This window comes from Homo sapiens, chromosome 3, assembly GCF_000001405.40.
Source record: "Homo sapiens chromosome 3, GRCh38.p14 Primary Assembly".
NCBI lineage: Eukaryota > Metazoa > Chordata > Mammalia > Primates > Hominidae > Homo > Homo sapiens.
Window position 1 is genome coordinate 11,741,111 of NC_000003.12, and position 19,364 is coordinate 11,760,474.

General features: G+C 47.5%; 1 protein-coding gene across 1 annotated transcript in view; it reads right to left on the reverse strand.

Moving 5' to 3' along the window:
• Window positions 1-19,364, reverse strand: part of TAMM41 (TAM41 mitochondrial translocator assembly and maintenance homolog) — a 124,990-nt gene that overhangs the window by 19,215 nt on the left and 86,411 nt on the right. The gene's annotated exons all lie outside the window — the stretch shown is intronic.

The window sequence follows — 19,364 nt, forward strand, 5'->3', positions numbered from 1 at the left end:
CGGGAGGCTGAGGCAGGAGAATAGCTTGAACCTGGGAGGCAGAGGTTGCAGTGAGCTGAGATCACACCATTGCACTCCAGCCAGGTACAGAACAAGACACCGTCTCAAAAAAAAAAAAAAAAAAAAAAATCAGGGCTCTGGCACTGGTGTCTGGTGTGGGCTACTGTTTCCAAGATGGTGCCCTGTTGCTGCGTCCCCACACAGCAGAAGGTGGAAGGACAAGAGAGCTGAATTCACTCCTTTAAGCACGACCACAAGGGCACTGAATCCCATTCATGAAAGTGGACTCCTCATGACTCAGTCACCTCCTAAAGTCCCCACCTCTTAATACCATCACCTTGGGGACTAAGTTATCCCCTTATCCTCAGAGAATACATCCCAAGACCCCCAGAGGATGCCTGAAACCATGGCAATCAGAACACATTTCTCTTCATGTCTTCCACCCACTAACTAAGCACTTATCATTCACAGTGGCCATAACTTTTGCGGTTTGAAGTGCAACAGCAAAACCAGCACAAATTTCTTTTTCCTTGTCCCCAGTTTCATGGGGAGAAAATTTGTTTTTACCATAGATCTTGGCAACTTCAGCATATGATTTTTTTGTTCTTTCTTTCTTATGTTGGGAACTTTCACCTTGTCACTTAAGTGGCTTCTCTTTGGACTATCCCAATTGCCAGCGTCGCTACTCTGGTGCTTAAGGTCGTTATTAAGTAAAATAAGGGTTACTGGAACACAAGCACTGGGATACCTGACAGTCAATTGGATAACCCAGATGGCTGCTAGATGGCTAATGGGCAGGGAGCGTCTGCAGCATGGATATGCTGGACAAAGGGATTATTCACGTCCTGAGCAGAACGGCACAAAATTCCATCATGCTGCTCAGAACAGCAATCGGTTTAAAGGGTATGGGATTTTCCATTTAATATTGACCTTGGCAAATAAATAAGGGGGTCTACCGTATGCATTTTAGAGGAACACACACATTTAGACCCTAAGAGTGCATGTGTGTATTTAGTTCATGTGTGTAGGCCCATATATCCAATTCCACAGTCAAGACTCAGAACATTTCCATCACCACAAAAATCCCTTGGGGTGTTCCTTTGTAACCCCACTCCCCTCCCCTCCCACTGTGCCCTCTCTCCTCATCCCAGACCCCTGACGACCACCAATCTGTTTTCCATTCCTAAATTGTTGCCATTTCAAAATGTTATATGAGTGGAATCATACAGTATGCAACCTTATAGGACTGGCTTCTTTAGCTTGGCCTAATTCCTTGAAGATTCATCCCAGTTGTTACATGCATCAGTAGGCCTTTCCTTTTGTCGCGGAGGAATCCTCCATGGGATGGAAGAACCACAGTTTGTTTAACCACTCACGTGCTCACAGACACCGGCACCATTTCCACTTGCTGGCTGCTGCAAATCAAGCTGCTATGAACATTTGTGTATAAGCTTTTATGTGAACATGCCCATCGCTTGCTTTTTTTTTTTTTTTTCCTGAGACAGGGTCTTGCCCTGTTATGCTGGAGGGCAGTGGCATGATCATAGTTCACTGCAGCCTTTAACTCCTGGACTGAAGCAATCATCCTACCTCAGTCTCCTGAATAGCGGGGACTACAGGTGTGCACCACCACACCTGGCTAATTAAAACAATTTTTTTTTTTTGGTAGAGACAGGGGTCTCGCCATGTTGTCCAGGCTGGTCTCGAACTCCAGGACTCAAGCGATCTTCCTGCCTTGGCCTCCCAAAGTGCTGGGATTGCAGGCATGAGCCACTGTGCTCAGCGACCCAGTGCTTTTTGAACCCCTTCCTATGACTGGGGAGCTCTCTCCCTTATAAATGCTGCCTACTAAAGACTAAAGCCAGAAAAACTCATTTTCCCAACTTCTCTTACATCTGGGGAGTGTAGGCCCCCCCAACCAGACACAGCCACGCAAGATTTTACGCAGAAGTGAGCAGTGTGAGGAAGCAGGCACTCCAAAGAATCCATCTGAAGACAAGGATGAGAGCAGAGGCCACCAAAAACTTTTGGGGATCAGCAATAATGGAGGTTTGCGTGTCCATGTCGCTGAAGCCAGTGAGCTTCGGGGTCTATACCAGCAGAGTGGTGGCAGTGGAGTCTTTGCTGAAAGTCCTGTGGGGTGGTTTGGGCATTGTTTCTGGTCCCATGGTCCTCCAAACCCCATTCTCTGGCCCTTTCAGAGATGTAAACTACCTAATAATCTCTTTTTTTTTTTTTTTTAAGAGGAAGTCTCGCTCTGTTGCCCAGGCTGGAGTGCAGTCGCACAATCTTAGCTCACTACAACCTCTGCCTCCAGGGTTCAAATGATTCTTGTGCCTCAGCCTCCCAATTAGCTGGGATTATAGGCACCCACCACCATGCCGGGTCAATTTTTGTATTTTTAGCGGAGACGGGTTTCACCATGTTGGCCAGGCTGGTCTCGAACTCCTGACATCAAGTGATCCACCTGCCTCGACCTCTCAAAGTACTGGGATTACAGGCGTGAGCCACCCTGCCTGGCCCCTAATAATCTTCTGTAAATTTATTTTCTGCTTATATAAGTTGGAGTGGATTCTGTTGTTCACAGCTGAGAGCTCTAACCAGCCTCCCTCTGTCGCCTCACTTCTGGCCACTCTTACCCTCAGTGCTCCCACTATACAGCAGCGCTTTCAGTTTCCCGGAGGTACCTTAGGGCATCAGGTGCTTCCCGTGGCACAGTGGAGCCTCTTCACTTACCTGCCTCCCTCATGGAACTGCAGACCTAGTATCCCCAGCCTCTGTCACCCTTCCATTGCCCTCAGTATATGCTCAATCCATGCCCAAATGAACCAATCGCTCATCTTTATCATTGATGAGATAAGAACAAGCCAGTACAACCATAGCCAGTGCTATTATGGTTGCCTTCTCACTCTGCACTACAGTCCCCTCATCTATAAATGGAGTAACACTTAAAATTTTTTATTTTTTATTTTTTGAGATGGAGTTTTTGCTGTATTGCCCAGGTTGGAGTGCAATGGTGTGATCTCGGCTCACTGCAACCTCCGCCTCCTGGGTTCAAGTGATTCTCCTGCTTCAGCCTCTCAAGTAACTGGGATTATAGGTGCCCACCACCATGCCCAGCTAGTTTTTGTATTTTTAGTAGAGATGGGATTTCCCCATGTTGGCCAAGCTGGTCTCGAACTCCTGACCTCAGGTGATCCACCCATCTCGGCCTCCCAAAGAGCTAGGATTACAGGTGTGAGCCACCATGCCCGGCCAAGAATAACACTTCTAAGAGAAGCACGGTTTAAAAGTTAATGGCAGCCGGGCACAGTGGCTCACACCTGTAATCCCTGCACTTTGTGGGGGCCAAGGCTGGTGGATCACAGGATGTCAGGAGTTTGAGACCAGCCTGGCCAACATGGTGAAACCCCATTTCTACTAAAAAAAGAAAAATTAGCCAGGCATGGTGGCACGCACCTGTAACCGCAGCTACTCAGGAGGTTAAGGTATGAGATTCACTTAAACCCAGGAGGTGGAGGTTGCAGTGAGCTGAGATCCTGCCACTGCACTCCAGCCTAGGCGACAGAGCAAGACTTTGTCTCAGAAAAAAAAGAAAAGAAAAGAAACAGAAATAAAAGGGAAACAGAAAATAGATTGGGCATGGTGGCTCACTCCTGTAATCCCAACACTTCAGGAGGCCAAGGCAAGAGGATTCCTTGAGCCCAGAAGTTCAAGACCAGACTGAGCAACACTGCAAGACCTCATCTCTACAGGTAATTTTTTTTTTTTGAGATGGAGTCTTGCTCTGTTGCCCAGGCTGGAGTATAGTGGTGCGATCTCGACTCACTGCAACCTCCACCTCCCAGGTTCAAGCGATTCTCCCGCCTCAGCCGCCTGAGTACCTGGGATTACAGGTGCCCACCACCACACTCGGTTAATTTTGTATTTTTAGTAGAGATGGGGTTGCACCATGTTGGTCAGGCTGGTCTCCAACTCCTGAACTCAGGTGATCTGCCTGCCTCAGCCTGCCAAAGTGCTGGGATTACAGGCATGAGCCACCACACCCGGCCTACAAATAATTTTTTAAAATTAGCCAGGTGTGGTGGTGCACACCTGTAGTCCCAGCTACTTGGGAGGCTGAGGCTAGAGGATCACTTGAGCACAGGAGGCCTAGGGTGCAGTGAGCCGTGATCGTGCCACTGCACTCCAACTTGGACAACAGAGTGAGACCTTGTCTCAAAAAATAAATCAATAAAAGGGGAACTCAAAGAGATATTAGTATATCCATGCTCATAGAAGCATTATTCACAATAGCCAAAAGGTGGAAGCAAAGCAAATGCGCATTGATAAATGAATGGATAAAAAAACTGATCTATGCATACCACGGAATATTATTCTATCTTAAAAAGGAAGCGAATTCTGACACATGCTACAACATGGATGAACCTTGAGGACATTATGCTAAGTGAAATAAACTAGTCACAAAAAAACCAAATACTGTATATTTCCACATCTATGAGGTACCTAGAGTAGTCAAATTCATAGAGACAGAAAGTAGAATAGTGGTTGCCAGGAGCTGTGGGAAGAGGAAATGGGAAGTTATCATTTAATGGGTACAGAGTTTCAGATTTGCAAGATGAAGAAAGATCTGTGGATACATGGTGGTGATACGGGCATAGCTGTGTGAATGTATTTAATGCCACTGAACTGTACACTGAAAAATGATCAAGATGCTAAATTTGAAGTTATACCTATTTTATCAGAATTTTTTAAACATTAGTGGTAAACTACAGTTAATTACCACTTCATATTCACTGAAATGGCTAAAAGTAAAAAAGCCTGACAATACCAAGTGTTGGCAAAGATCTGAAGAAATTGGAACTCTCATATACCGTTTGGCACTTTTTATAAACATTTAAAAATTTAGGCCGGGCGCGGTCGCTCACGCCTGTAATCCAAGCACTTTGGGAGGCCGAGGCAGGTGGATCACGAGGTCAGGAGATCGAGACCATCCTGGCTAACACAGTGAAACCCCGTCTCTACTAAAAATACAAAAAAATTAGTCAGGAGTGGTGGTGGGCACCTGTAGTCCCAGCTACGCTGAAGGCTGAGGCAGGAGGAGAATGGCTTGAACCCAGGAGGCGGAGCTTGCAGTGAGCCGAGATCGCACCACTGCACTCCAGCCTGGGCGACAGAGTGAGACTCTCTCAAAAAAAAAAAAAAAAAAAATTTAAACATGCACTTACCATATGACGCCAGAAGTGTACAGTGAGCTGTTTACCCAAGAGAAATGTAATGTTACTAGAAGACTTGTGCACAAATGTCAGAGCAGCTTTACCAATAAGAGCCAAAAGCTGAAAATAAGTTAAATGTCCATCAACAGATGGACATCAAGAGATAAACAAATTGGGGAATATTCCTGCAATGAAATACTACTGAGCAATAAAAGAACTACTGATATACACAACATGGGTGAATCTTAGAAACATTATGCTGGGGGAAAAAAAACATATATCAGAGGCTATATATTCTAGGATTGCTATTTATTATTAATTAATTTATTTATTTATTTTTAAGGCAGAGTCTCTCTCTATTGCTCATGTTGGAGTGCAGTGGTACAATCACAGCTCACTGCAGCCTCAAATGATCCTCCTGCCTCAGCCTCCCGAGTAGCCGGGACTACAGGTGCACATCACCATGCCCAGCTAATTTTTTGTATTTTTTGTAGAGACAGGGTCTCAGTATGTTGCCTAGGCTGCTCTCAAACCCCTGGGCTCAAATGATCCTCCTGCCTCGACCTCCCAATGCACTGGGATTATAGGCATGAGCCACTATGCCAGACCCATGCTGTATGATTCCATCTATATCTAGAAATTCTAGAAAAGACAAATCTAATCTGTGGTGATAGATATTAGATCAGTGGTTACCTGGAATAGGGCTTAGGAGAGAAAGACTACAAAGACGTGTGGTAGAACTTTATTTATTTATAAGACGGAGCCTCCTTCTGTCACCCAGGCTGGAGTGTAGTGGTGTAATCTCGGCTCACTGTAGCCTCTGCTTCCCAGGTCCCAGCAATTCTCCTGCCTCAGCCTCCCGAGTAGCTGGGACTACAGGCGCACGCCACCATGCCTGGCTAATTTTTGTATTTTTAGTAGAGACGGGGTTTCGCCATGTTGGCCAGCTGGTCTCCAACTCCTGAACTCAGATGGTCCACCCACCTTGGCCTCCCAACGTGCTGGGATTACAGGCATGAGCCACCATGCCCGGCCAGTGTGATGGAACTTTCTAGACTGGTAGAAATAATTTATATATTGATTGGTGGTTACATAGGCATATGTGATTGTCAAAAGCCTTTGAACTGCACACTTAAAATATATCTAAATTATACTTCAAAGATGGGGCACGGTGACTCACACCTGTAATCCCAGAACTTCAGGAGGCCGAGGTGGGATGATTGCTTGAGCCCAGGAGTTCAAGACCCCTGGGCAATATAGCGAGACTCCATCCCTACATAAAATTCCAAAAAACTAGCTGGGTATGGTGGTGTGCGCCTGTAGTCCCAGCTACTCAGGAGGCTGTGGGAGGACTGCCTGAGCCCAGGAGGTTGAGGCTGCAGTGTGCTATTATTGTGCCACTGTACTCCAGCCTAGGTGACAGAATGAGACCCTGTCTCAAAAAAATTAAAAAATAAAAAATAAGTTATACTTCAATAAAGTTGAAAAATATTAGTGGGACGCAGATGAGAAGTGTCTATTCAAGTCTATTCAATATTTACTATTTATTTATTTATTTTTTTTTTTGAGACAGGGTCTTGCTCTATCCCCTAGGCTGGGGTGCAGTGGTTCAATCTCAGCTCACTGCAACCTCTGCCTCCTGGCCTCAAGAGATCCTCCCACCTCAGCCTCCCGAGTAGCTGGGACTACAGGCGCACACCACTACACCTGGCTAATTTTTGTATTTTTTGTAGAGATAAGGTTTCTCCATGTTGTCCAGGCTGGTCTCAAACTCCTGGACTCAAGCAATCCACCTGCCTTAGCCTCCCAAAGTGTTGGGATTACAGGCGGGAGCCACCACGCCCAGCCTCTATTCAGTATTTATGAATCAAACACGAGTATCTCCCTCTTCAGCCTCAAAGTAATTCACATGTCTCATATTAATATTAATATTTTCTGTACTCTTTTATTTATTTATTTATTTATTTATTTTTTGAGATGGAGTCTCGCTCTATCACCCAGGCTGGAGTGCAGTGGCATGATCTCGGCTCACTGCAGCCTCTGCCTCCCAGGTTCAAACAATTCTCATGCTTCAGCCTCCGAGTAGCTGGAACTACAGGCGGCTGCCACCACGTCTGGCTTTTTTTTTGTATTTTTAGTACAGTGCAGTGGTGTAATCCCTCCTACCTCACCCTCCCAAGTAGCCGGGACCACAGGCATGCACCGCCATGGCTGGCTAACTCTTTTATTTTTAGTAGAGACGGGGGTTCACCATGTTGCCCAGGCTGGTCTCAAACTCCTGACTTCAAGTGATCTGCCCCCCTCAGCCTCCCAAAGTGCTGGAATTACAGGCGTGAGCCACTGCACCTGGCCTGTTTTTTGTACTCTTAAATGCAGCAGTGAAATAACAGAGAAGGAAAAGGGACAGAAACTGACATTTTTGAGAGCTTTACTTTCTGTAGGCGCTATCAGAGGGGTCATGTGGATGGTGTGGTGGAGAATGTGAGATTTGTATCTGTGACAATGAGAGCCTGGAGGTCCCAGGGGTTCCTGCTTGGAACTTTCCCATGTGTTATCATTTAACCCTCAACACCCTGGGAAGTAGATTTTTTTTTTTTTTTTTTTGAGATGGAATCTCACTCTGTCACCCAGGGTGGAGTGCAGTGGTGCCATCTTGGCTCACTGCAACCTCTGCCTCCCGGGTTCAAGTGATTCTCCTGCCTCAGCCTCTCAAATAGCTGGGATTACAGGCATGCACCACCACACCTGGCTAATTTTTGTATTTTTAGTAGAGATGGGGTTTTGCTATGTTGGCCAGGCTGGTCTCGAACTCCTGACCTCAAGTGATCTGCCCACCTTGGCCTACCAAAGTGCTGGGATTACAGGCATGAGCCACTGCGCCCTGCTAGAAATGGATTTTTATTGCACTCGTGTTTACAGTTGAGCAAAGAGGCTCGGATTTGTTAAATTACTTCCTTGTCACATAGCCAGTAAGTGGTGGAACCAGGACTTGAACCTGAAGGTGTCTCTAGAGTCCATAATCATTTGACTACAAAACTGGACACTGGAATCTTGTATTCATAATCCTTGGGTCCTGGCCACCAAAGCCTGTTTCCTGTGCTTTACAGTGATCAGGGTCCCCAGGAGAGCCCTCGAATTCTGTGCAACGCCAACCTACATGAGTAAGACATGGAGAAGCCAGTCCATTGTTTAGTACTAGAGTTGCTCAGGCTCTGTTAACTGACCTTTCTTTCTGTTCTCTTTCTTTCCTTATTTGTTTTTATTTAGTTGTGTTCAACACAAATCAATTCCATACCATGAAGTTACTATGAATCAGAGCATAAATACACAAACACAACGTGCAATGAGAAACAGATGCAGGACACCCAGATATGAAGCGGAAGGGAGGGCTCATTCACACCCACAGTGCCTGGAGATCCGCTGGGTCTGCTTGTTCTCATGTTGGCTTCTAGGGATGGCAGAGCTGGCTTTGGTTAGTGAGACCCACTGTGGCCATTTGGATACCGGAAATCTCTGCATGCATGTGTACTCATGTGAACCAAAGGCTTCATGGAGTGTCAATTTCTTTTTCTTTCTTTTTTTTTTTTTTTTGACGGAGTCTTGCTCTGTTGCCCAGGCTGGAGTGCAGTGGCACGATCTGGGCTCACTGCAAGCTCCACCTCCCGGTTCATGTTATTCTCCTGCCTCAGCCTCCCGAGTAGCTGGGACTACAGGCGCCTGCCACCACGCCCGGCTAATTTTTTGTATTTTTAGTAGAGATGGGGTTTCACTGTGTTAGCCAGGATGGTCTCGATCTCCTGACCTCGTGATCCGCCCGCCTCGGCCTCCCAAAGTGCTTGGATTACAGGCGTGAGCCACTGTGCCCAGTCGGGAGTGTCTGTTTCTAAGAAGGTTTCTCTGGACTGGGGCCATTGTGAAAGATTAACTTTACAGAATTGAGCCTACTTTAGGCTCAAGACTAACCCTCTACAGTAACCCTCAGGTTCTAACCATTGAGGGACAGGGCCTTACTCTGTTGCCCAGGCTGAAGTGCAATGGTGTGATCATGGCTCACTGACTGTAGCCTCGAACTCCTGGGCTTAAGGGATCCTCCTGCCTAAGCTTCTTGAGTAGCAGGGACTACAGGCGCATACCACCATGTGCGGCTAATTTTTACATTTTTTTGTGGAGATAGGGCCTCACTATGTTGCCCAGGATGGTCTTGAACTCCTGGGCTCAAGCAATTCTCCTGCCTCAGCCTCCCCAAACTCTGGGATTACAGGTGTGAGCCACTGCGCCCAGCTTCCTCTGAAATATTGACTGCTACTGACAGATCTGGAGAATACTGACATCATTCTGGTGGCTGAAGTCTTGTGGCTTGGATTCACATCATAGCTCAATAAAATCTGTTTGAGAGCCTGGGTATCCACAAGCTAAAGTCCAGTCTATCCTCAACTCACCAGGTGCACAGGCTGACAACAGTTTTATTGGTCAGGACTCTTTTTCATTCATAAGGAGACTTTATTGATGCATGGAACTGGCATGTTCAGAGGGAACCTGCTCTAGATGGGGCTCGCTCCTGTCCCCAGGCCTCCATCCCTCTCTCCTTCTCTCTCCCTTCTGGAGGGCTTTATCTGGCAGTGCCAGGCTGGATAATGTCTAGCCTGGACAATAAGACATCGTCCAGGGAGCACAATGTCAACCACAGGTCCAGGGTGCACACTCTCATCCCACAATGCCCGGAGGAAGAGGAGGAGTCCTTTCCAGAAGCTTACAGATGATACTTTTTTTTTTTTTTTTTTTGGACACAGAGTCTCACTCTATTGCCCAGGCTGGAGCACAGTGGCGTGATCTCAAATCACTGCAACCTCTGCCTCCCGGGTTCAAGCAATTCTCCTGCCTCAGCCTCCTGAGTAGCTGGGATTACAGGCATGTGCCACCACACCTGGCTAATTTTTGTATTTTCAGTAGAGATGGGGTTTCACCATGTTGGCCAGTCTGGTCTCGAACTCCCGACCTCAAGTGATCTGCCCGCCTCGGCCCCCCAAAGAGCTGGGATTACAGGCATGAACCACCGCGCCTGGCCAAGACTTTTCCTTATGAGCCCAAGCAGCATCTTCTTGGACATCCTTAGCTCTGATTTGGCCCCACGAATAGCACTGAGCCAAATGCCTCGGGAGGTAACCCTGTTGTGTCCAGTCAGAGCCTGCCGTGCTGGGGCCAGGCCTACCGAACCTCATGGTTGAGAATGATAGAGAATGAATCTCTCTGAGGACAACCAGGGCACTGTTGGCAGAAGACAGGGCCAACCCTGGAGGGCCACCAGCGTATTTCCTCCAGAGCTGCATCCTCCTTACCTTGAACTGACCGGCTTACCCCCGAAGTGTGTCAAGTCTGGACACTGCTCAGGCCTTAGATTGTGAAACTCCCTGCCGCACTTGCCACTGCTGATCCTTCTTGAAATTCTCTACTTTAATGGTTCTTGACCCTGTCTGTCTTCTGACTACGTTAATGTGGAGAATTTTGCACTTATCGATAGCCAGGGGGTTCAGATATGCTGGGTATGAGACTGGGGTAGGGGTCAGGTGTCTGTTTGCTTACAGAGAGTCCTGGGTGACCTTGATGCAAGTAGCTCCAACTAGGAACCACTAGGCTTCTGTGGCATCACCCTCTCCTGGTCCACTGTGCAGGTATTTACTGAGTATGTGAGGGACACTCAGGCAGGTGCTAAGCATCAGAGATGAACAAAACAAGGTCATTGTGTGTCCGGAGTTGGTTCCTTCCGGTGGGTTTGTGGTCTCCCTGACTTCAAGAATGAAGCTGCGGACCTTCGCGGCGAGTGTTACAGCTCCTAAAGGTGGTGTGTCCGGAGTTTCTTCCTTCCAGTGGGTTCGTGGTCTTGCTGACTTCAAGAATGAAGCCATGGACCTCGGCGGTGAGTGTTACAGCTCTCAAAGGTGACAGGGGCCCAAAGAGTGAGCAGCAGCAAGATTTATTGTGAAGAGCAAAAGAACAAAGCTTCCACAGCATGGAAGGGGACCCGAGTGGGTTGCTGCTGCTGGTGGGGGGTGGCCAGCTTTTATTCCTTTATTTGTCCCTGCCCACATCCTGCTGATTGGTCCATTTTACAGAATGCTGATTGGTCCATTTTACAAACCTCTAGCTAGCCACTGAGCGCTGATTGGTGCGTTTTACAATCCTAGCTACAGAGTGCTGATTAGGGCATTTTACAATCCTCTTGTAAGACAGAAAAGTTCTCCAAGTCCCCACTCGACCCAGGAAGTCCAGCTGGCTTCACCTCTCAATTGTTCTTACAAAGCTTTTTTTTTTTTTTTTTTTTTTTTTTTTTTGAGACAGGGTCTTGCTCTCTATCACCCAGGCTTGAGTGCAGCTGTGCAGTCATAGCTCACTGCAGCCTCCAATTGCTGGGCTCAAGCGATCCTCCTGCCTGACCCTTCAGAGTAACTGGGACTACAGGTGCTATAGGCGCATGCCACCATGGCTGGTTAATTTTTATTTTTTAATTTTTTGTAGAGATAGGGTCTTGCTATGTTGCCCAGGCTGGTCTTGAACTCCTGGGCTCTAGCGATCGTCCTGCCTTAGCCTCCCAAACTGCTGAAATTGTAGGTGTTAGCCACCACGCCTGGCCCATATGAAGCTTATATCACAGTGGGGGATGTTGAGAGAGACAACTAAATGAGTACATGTCCGAAGGGGTTCAGATAGTGCTGTGAACTATCAGGATGAAGCTGATAGGAGGAATGAAGAAAGTCAATCAGGATGAAGTGATGGGGGAATGGAGAGCTGTCTTAGATAGGATGCTCAGCACTGGCTGCCCTGGCCAGCGCAGTGGCTCATACCTGCAATCCCAGCACTTTGGGAGTCAGAGGCGGGAGGATCACTTGAGCCCAGGAGTTCAAGACCAGCCTGGGCAACATGGTGAGACCCCCATCTCTACTAAAAATACAAAAAAAGAAAAAATAGTGGGGCATAGTGGTGTGGCTTGTAGTCCCAGCTACTTGGGAGGCTGAGGTGGGAAGATCATTTGAGCCTGGGAGGCAAAGGATGCAGTGAGCCAAGAATGCACCACTGCACCCCAGCCTGAGTGACATAGCAAGACTGTATCCAAAAAATATAGGCCAGGTGCAGTGGCTCACGCCTGTAATCTCAGCACTTTGGGAGGCCGAGGCATGTGGATCACAAGGTCAGGAGATTGAGACCATCCTGGCTAACATGGTGAAACCCTATCTCTACTAAAAATAAAAAAAAATAAAAAATAAAAAAAAGTGGGCGTGGTGGCGGGCGCCTGTAGTCCCAGCTACTCGGGAGGCTGAGACAGGAGAATGGCGTGGAGACAGGAGGCAGAGCTTGCAGTGAGCTGAGGTTGCGCCACTGCACTCCAGCCTGGGCGACAGAGCAAGACTCCGTCTCAAAAAAAAAAATAAAATAAACTGGCTGTCTTGGGAGGTGATGAACTCCAGGAGGAGCAGACCTAAAACAGGAGTGTGCTTGGTGCACCCCAATAAAGAAGGAGATTGTATGTCTGACGTGAAGAAGGAAGGGCAAGGGGCGAGGAGGCCGATGACAAGATAAAGGGGGCATGGCCAGATCCCACTGAGTGCTTCAGGATGCAGCAAGGAGACCAGATTCATTCTCAGTGCAAGGGGCGGCCTCGTGTTCTCCTCACATCCCTGTCCATCTCTGTTTTTTGCCAGCTGCTGTTTCTCCACCTGCTCCTAAGTGCTGCTGTTCTCCCAGCTCCTCTCATTCTACCTGCAGGAATCTTGGTTACTTTCACGTGGTAACCGAGACCCCCTGCTCCTCGGCTATGGACTCAGGTATCAAACACTGGCAGGACCCTCTGTCTGTATATCCTGTGGGTTCCTCAAAACTTGCGCAAAGCCACCTAGCATCATCTGTCAATCTCCTCCACTCCCTGTGTCTCCAGCTCAGCTACCAACATGACCCACTACCCAGGCATCTAATCTAGAAACCCAAGTGTCACTATGACTTCCCCCACTCCTCACCAACTACTGCCAATGCATTACCAATTCTTTTTAAAAATTTTTTCTTCTTATTATTTTTTTAGGCAGGGTCTCGCTCTATAACCCAGGCTGGAGTGCAGTGGTGCAATCATGGCTTACTGCAGCCTCGACCTCCTGGATTAAAGTGATTCTCCCACCTCAGCCTCTCGAGTAGCTGGTGCAGTCCATCACGTCTGGCTGATTTTTAAAAAAATTTTTTATAGAGAAGGGGTCTCTTTATGTTGCCCAGGTTGGTTTTGAACTCCTGGGCTTAAAAGATCCTCCTGCCTTGAACTCCCAAAAATGCTGGGATTACAAACATGAGCCACTACATCCAACCACTAACTCTTTTTAACCTCTGAAACATTTCTCAGATCTCTTTTTTTTTTTTTTTTTTTTTTTGAGACAGAGTCTTGCTCTGTCACCCACACTGGAGCGCACTGGCATGATCTTCTGCCTCCCTGGCTCAAGTGATTCTCCTGCCTCAGCCTGCCGAGTAAGTGGGATCACAGGCATGAGCCACCATGCCCGGCTAATTTTCTGTATTTTTAGTAGAGACAGGGTTTCACCATGTTGGCCAGGCTGGTCTCGAACTCCTGACCTCAGGTGATCCACCTGCCTCGGCCTCCCAAAGTGCTGGGATTACAGGTGTGAGTCACTGCACCTGGCCTCAGATCTCTCTTCTCCTCACTGTCCTTCCTTCTAGGATTCTGAACTGATGACCACAGCTCTTCCCTAGGGAGCTGCAGCAACCCCTAATCAGAGCCCCTGCCCTCAAATACAGGCCTCCCCTCCTCCCCTCATCCTGCTCTTCCTGACTTTGGCAGACAGCAAAGCCTGGATAACAAAGGGTGGACTCAGGGTAGAAGCAGAGAGGAGACTCGGCCTAACACACACAGGCTTTCTGCATCCAAGGCCACTATCTGGGCTTTGAGAAAAGTCTGTGACGTGTAGATGTCTCTCCCAGCCCCGCAGGCACTGGCATGGGACCCTCTCACAAGGGACCCAGGAAGAAACTAAGAAGAGTCGGCTTGTGGGGAAGGAATGCGGAAGGACTAAAGGGATTGAGGAAGGCCTGTTGCAGGAGAGAAAGAAGAGGTGATCAAGACCAGAGGCTTTGTTTCTGAGGGACCGTGGGAGGATGGTACGGTGCTTCAAGCACTGGAGTCAGAGAACACATTCCTGTTAAGGAGCTGGGGAAAGGAATTCACACGAGGAGAACTGCTGCCGAGCACTCTGAACATTCTGTGTATTGTCGGGCGGGGATGTCCAGCTTGAACCTAAAAAGAAGGGCATTTCACGTGCCCTTGGTCATGACCCACATGCACCGGATGGCCAGCACTAAGGCTGCCTGGCAATGTATCCCTCCCTCCAAGCTCACAGTGCCACAAAGGCCCTATCAGGCTCTGCTCTCCTCCCACACACCTCTCCAGCCTCACCCTCTCACCACTTCCAGAACCGGCTCTTACACTCCTTAGGGTCCACACATGCCATGCTGTTCTCACTGTCTGCAATAATTTCACCCCATGAAGCACTTCCTCCCTGAGCTTTCTCCTGCCTGCTGTCTGTTCGTCCCCTGACTGATGTTAGCATGGACGAGTATTATATAATGGGGGGCAAAACATGTTTGGACATCACACAGTCTTGGATTAGAATTCCAGCTTTCCTCTACACTCCCTGGATTAGAATTCCAGCTTTCCTCTGCACTCCCTTTAAGACCTTAGCAATCACTGTGTCCATCTTACCATGAGTGAAATGGAGTTTATTCCAGGACTATTTGCGGCTCAAATGACTTTTATAAAGTGCTCTGCACATAGTAGGTGCTCAATAAATGTTAGCGCCCCTTCTCTGCCCTTGAGGCACTCGATTAATGCTTTTCAATTCTAGAGTCACTGAACAGCTACCATTTGTTGGAAGCTACCAAGTGTCTGGTGGCACTGTCTTTTCTCCTTTTCCATGACCACTCTTACTTATCCTGAGTGTGATTCTCTTTTCTCATGCATTGGAACTGATGTGCTGGCCATGCAGAGGAATAGGCAGGACCTGTCATTTACTGAGGGTCCACTCTGTGCCTGACCTTCACGAGCTGTTTTCCAGACAGTCTCTCAGTTAATATTCACAATGACTCTTTGAGGTTTGTTGTATTAATCACTATCTTATATATGAGCAAATTGAGACTCTGGGAAGTTAAATAACCTTGCTGAGATTAAACAGCCAGGACTGATAGAGCCAAGACAGAAATCCGGTCTTCTGGGGCCAGGTGTGGTGGCTCATGCCTGTAATCTCAGCACTTTGGGAGGCCGAGGCGGGCAGATCACATGAGGTAGGGAGTTCGAGACCAGCCTGACCAACATGGAGAAACCCCGTCTCTACTAAACATACAAAATTAGCTGGGCGTGGTGGCACATGCCTGTAATCCCAGTTACTTGGGAGGCTGAGGCAGGGGAATTGCTTGAACCTGGGAGGCAGAGGTTGCGGTGAGCTGAGATTGCGCCACTGCACTCCAGCCTGGGCAACAAGAGCGAAATTCCGTCTCAAAAAAAAAAAAAAGAAAAAAGAAATCCAGTCTTCCAGATTCCAAAGCCCATGATCTTTCAAATGGACTCCATTTCCTGTCAGAAAGGATACTATATACTAGTAACAGTAATAAAAATAGTTAACACTTAGTGATTACATATGGACTGGGAACTATTCTAGCTGAGTACTTGTGTTAATTTAATTAACCTTTGCAAACATCCCATGCCATCGTTCCTATTATTATCCCATTGTACAGATAACTGAGGCACAGAGGGGTTAAACAACCTGCCCAGGTCACTGAGCTGAATCTGTGTGCATAGAAATTACAGTCTTCATTCTATTTTCTTCTTTCAAGGAGCACGGTAAGATCCATGTTCACATGAGAGAGAATAAGTGGAAACATTTTACACACTGTAAATGCTTGAGAGATGTTCGCTGTTATGTTGAAAGTTGAGTGAGGGGAAATTCTGAGTGGACTCAGAGTTTGAAAACCAGGGAACAAGAGCACTGTTCTGCTGGAACTCTCTTGAGAGTCCAGGGGCGGCCGTCTCCCCAGGAAAGCAGGGTAGCGTCCAAGAATCATGCAGCGGTCAGAGGAACTCAGAGACTGACATTTGTCACCTGTCCCTGGAGAGCTGCAGAACCATAAGCCTTACAAAGATGATTAGCAGCCCACGAGACCACAGACAGCTCTTCCAACCAGCAAACAGAGTTGGCACTCTTGCACAATCCCCTGGGAGTGCGTCACCATGATGTCACCTTGTTTATTCCTCGCGTGGATATCAGGCCCCAATGGGCCTGATGAACTGCCGGCCACAGACAGCAAAATGACAACGCTTTGTAACTTATCCTGGTGCTTTAATCTTTGCTCTGATTCTGCGATTTAGAAGCAATTCTGTGTCACTTCCCCTCAATCACTGGCCATGTCACCATACCAGTGCAGGGTGACAATCATTCATACAGAAAACATGTAGGCGCTGAGAGCCTCTTTCTAATCCTGCTCCCTGAGCAGCTGCTCAGGAGGCGTTGGTGAATGAGAATAGCAGGGTCCTCGTTGTTTAGGAACTGAGTCCAGCAGGGTAGGGGGACACTGAAGAAACCAAGTTGTACTGGGAGTTTTTATAAAGGAGAGTTACAGAGAGCCATGGAAGTGTAAGTCTGGGGCCCCCATTCAGTCTTGGGAGGGCAGAGGATGCCTCCCAGAGGAACTGATGTCTAAGCTGAGCCAGCAGGTTAAGTAGGAGTCAGTCGGGTGAAAGAAGGAAAGAACAGCACAAGTGGTGGCAGCAGACAGCAAAGCCCCAGGAATGGAGACGATCCCAGTTGTCTGGAGGTTAGAGAGCCCGCATCTCAAGGTAAGCGGGAGCTGCTAGGACACAATGCTGGAGGCCGAAGTGAGCTGTTAAGAGTTCTGGGACATTTTGTTTTTGAAGGGCAATGGAGACATTCCAGGATTTTAAGTTGGGAGCAACATGATCCGATCTGTGGGGTTTTTGTTTTGTATTGTTTTGTTTTGTTTTTTTGAGACGGAGTCTCGCTCTGTTGCCCAGGTTGGAGTGCAGTGGCATGATCTTGGCTCACTGCAATTTCCACCTCCCAGGTTCAAGCGATTCTCCTGCCTCAGCCTCCTGAGTAGCTGGGATTACATGCACGTGCCACCATGCCCAGCTAATTTTTGTATTTTTAGTAGAGACAGGGTTTCACCATGTTGGTCAGGCTGTCTCAAATTCCTGACCTCAGGTGATCCACCCACCTTGGCCTCCCAAAGTGCTGGGATTACCGGCGTGAGCCACTGCACCCGGCCAGATCTGTGTATTTTTAGTTTTTAATTCTGTTTTTGTTTTTGAGATGGAATCTTGCTGTGTTGCCCAGGCTAGAGTGCAGTGGTACTATCTCAGCTCACTGCAACCCCCGCCTCCCAGGTTCAAGTGATTCTCCCGCCTCAGCCTCCTGAGTAACTGGGATTACAGCCATGCACCACCACGCCCGGCTAATTTTTGTATTTTTAGTAGAGATGGAGTTTCGCCATGCTGGCCAGGCTGGTCTTGAACTCCTGACCTCGTGATCCACCTGCCTTGGCCTCCCAAAGTGCTGGGATTATAGGCGTGAGCCACCTTGCCCAGCCTGAGAAATATAATTTACCCTCATATTCTTTAATCTCCCCCAAATCCCATTAATTATTGCTCTTAAATAAAGAGCATTATATGCTTTAATCTCCCCAAATCCCATTAATTATTTAAGAGCAATAATTTTTAAGAGCAATTATTAATGGGATTTGGGGAGATTAAAGAATATAATGGTAAAAAATCAATTATTTTTCATCTTTGTCATTAAAAAAAAATTTGTCAGAGACCCACCTGCATTTGCTCGGCACTACTCAGCCCCACTCCGTACTGCTCACGTGGAGGGAGTGATCGCCATCTAAGAGCTTAGCGGGTGATCAACGGCACATCCATTCTTTCAGGAAACACCTAGATGCTTAATAGCAAGCATCTCTCATGTGCCAGGCACTGCACGAGGCCCTGTAAACGAGATGCCAACTCTGCTTGGAAGTGGTACGGTGGAAGGGGCATTGGGCCAGGCAGACATGGGCTCAAGCTCCTACCCCAGCACCTCCTGAGGGAACTCCTTCAACCTTTTAGGACCCTGATGTCCTCACGTGTAACACTGGAATAAAGACACCTGGCTTCCACAGCCCATGTATGGATGAATGGGAATGCATACGGAAAGCAATTGCTCAAATACATACCAATTCCTCCCACCCTACCCCAGTTCCTCCACCTTCCAGGTTTTAGCGTCTAGATGAAAACCAAATTCTATAAATCAGGTTTAAGAAAACATTCCTGGCTGGGCATGGTGGCTCACGCCTGTAATTCTAGCACTTTGGGAGGCTGAGGTGGGCAAATCACTTGACGTCAGGAGTCCGAGACTAGCCTGGCCAACATGGTGAAACTCCATCTCTACTAAAAATATGAAAATTAGCTGGGCGTGGTGGCACGCGCCTGTAATCCCAGCTATTTGGGAGGCTGAGGCAGGAGAATCGCTTGAACCCAGGAGGCAGAGGTTGCAGTGAGCCGAGATCGCGCCATTGCACTCCAGCCTGGGGGACAAGAATGAAACTCCATCTCAAAAAAAAAGAAAAAAGAAGAAGAAGAAGAAGAAAACGTTCCTGAGTAGAAAACCCACACAAAGTGGACAGACCTAATAATAATATTTCCAAAACACATCTATTGTCATCATTCTGGATGGGCAAGTAGCTGCCCTCTCAGTAAGCTTTTTTTCATTAAGGAAATATATTAGCTTACCTGTCAAACTTGTTTTCTTCCCTGTAATGCAAGCAATTGCCTATGCTTCCCAAAGCCTGGAGGCCAATCTACTGCCACTGCTGACATTGACCCAGTGGCCAGTTAGACTAATATTCAGGACTTGCCAAGGTGCTCTCTCCCTGGAGGCCTCCTAAAATCCTTAAAGCACTAACTCAACATTTCCTCTTGAGCTCTCTTCAAGCCGAATCAGTTGCTTCATTTTCACTTCTTCATAAACTTAGTTGTTAATAATTTTATTTTTCATTTTTAGCATTTGCTTGTTTTTCTAATTTCTTCCAATTTTAATTTTCTAATGTCTTGAC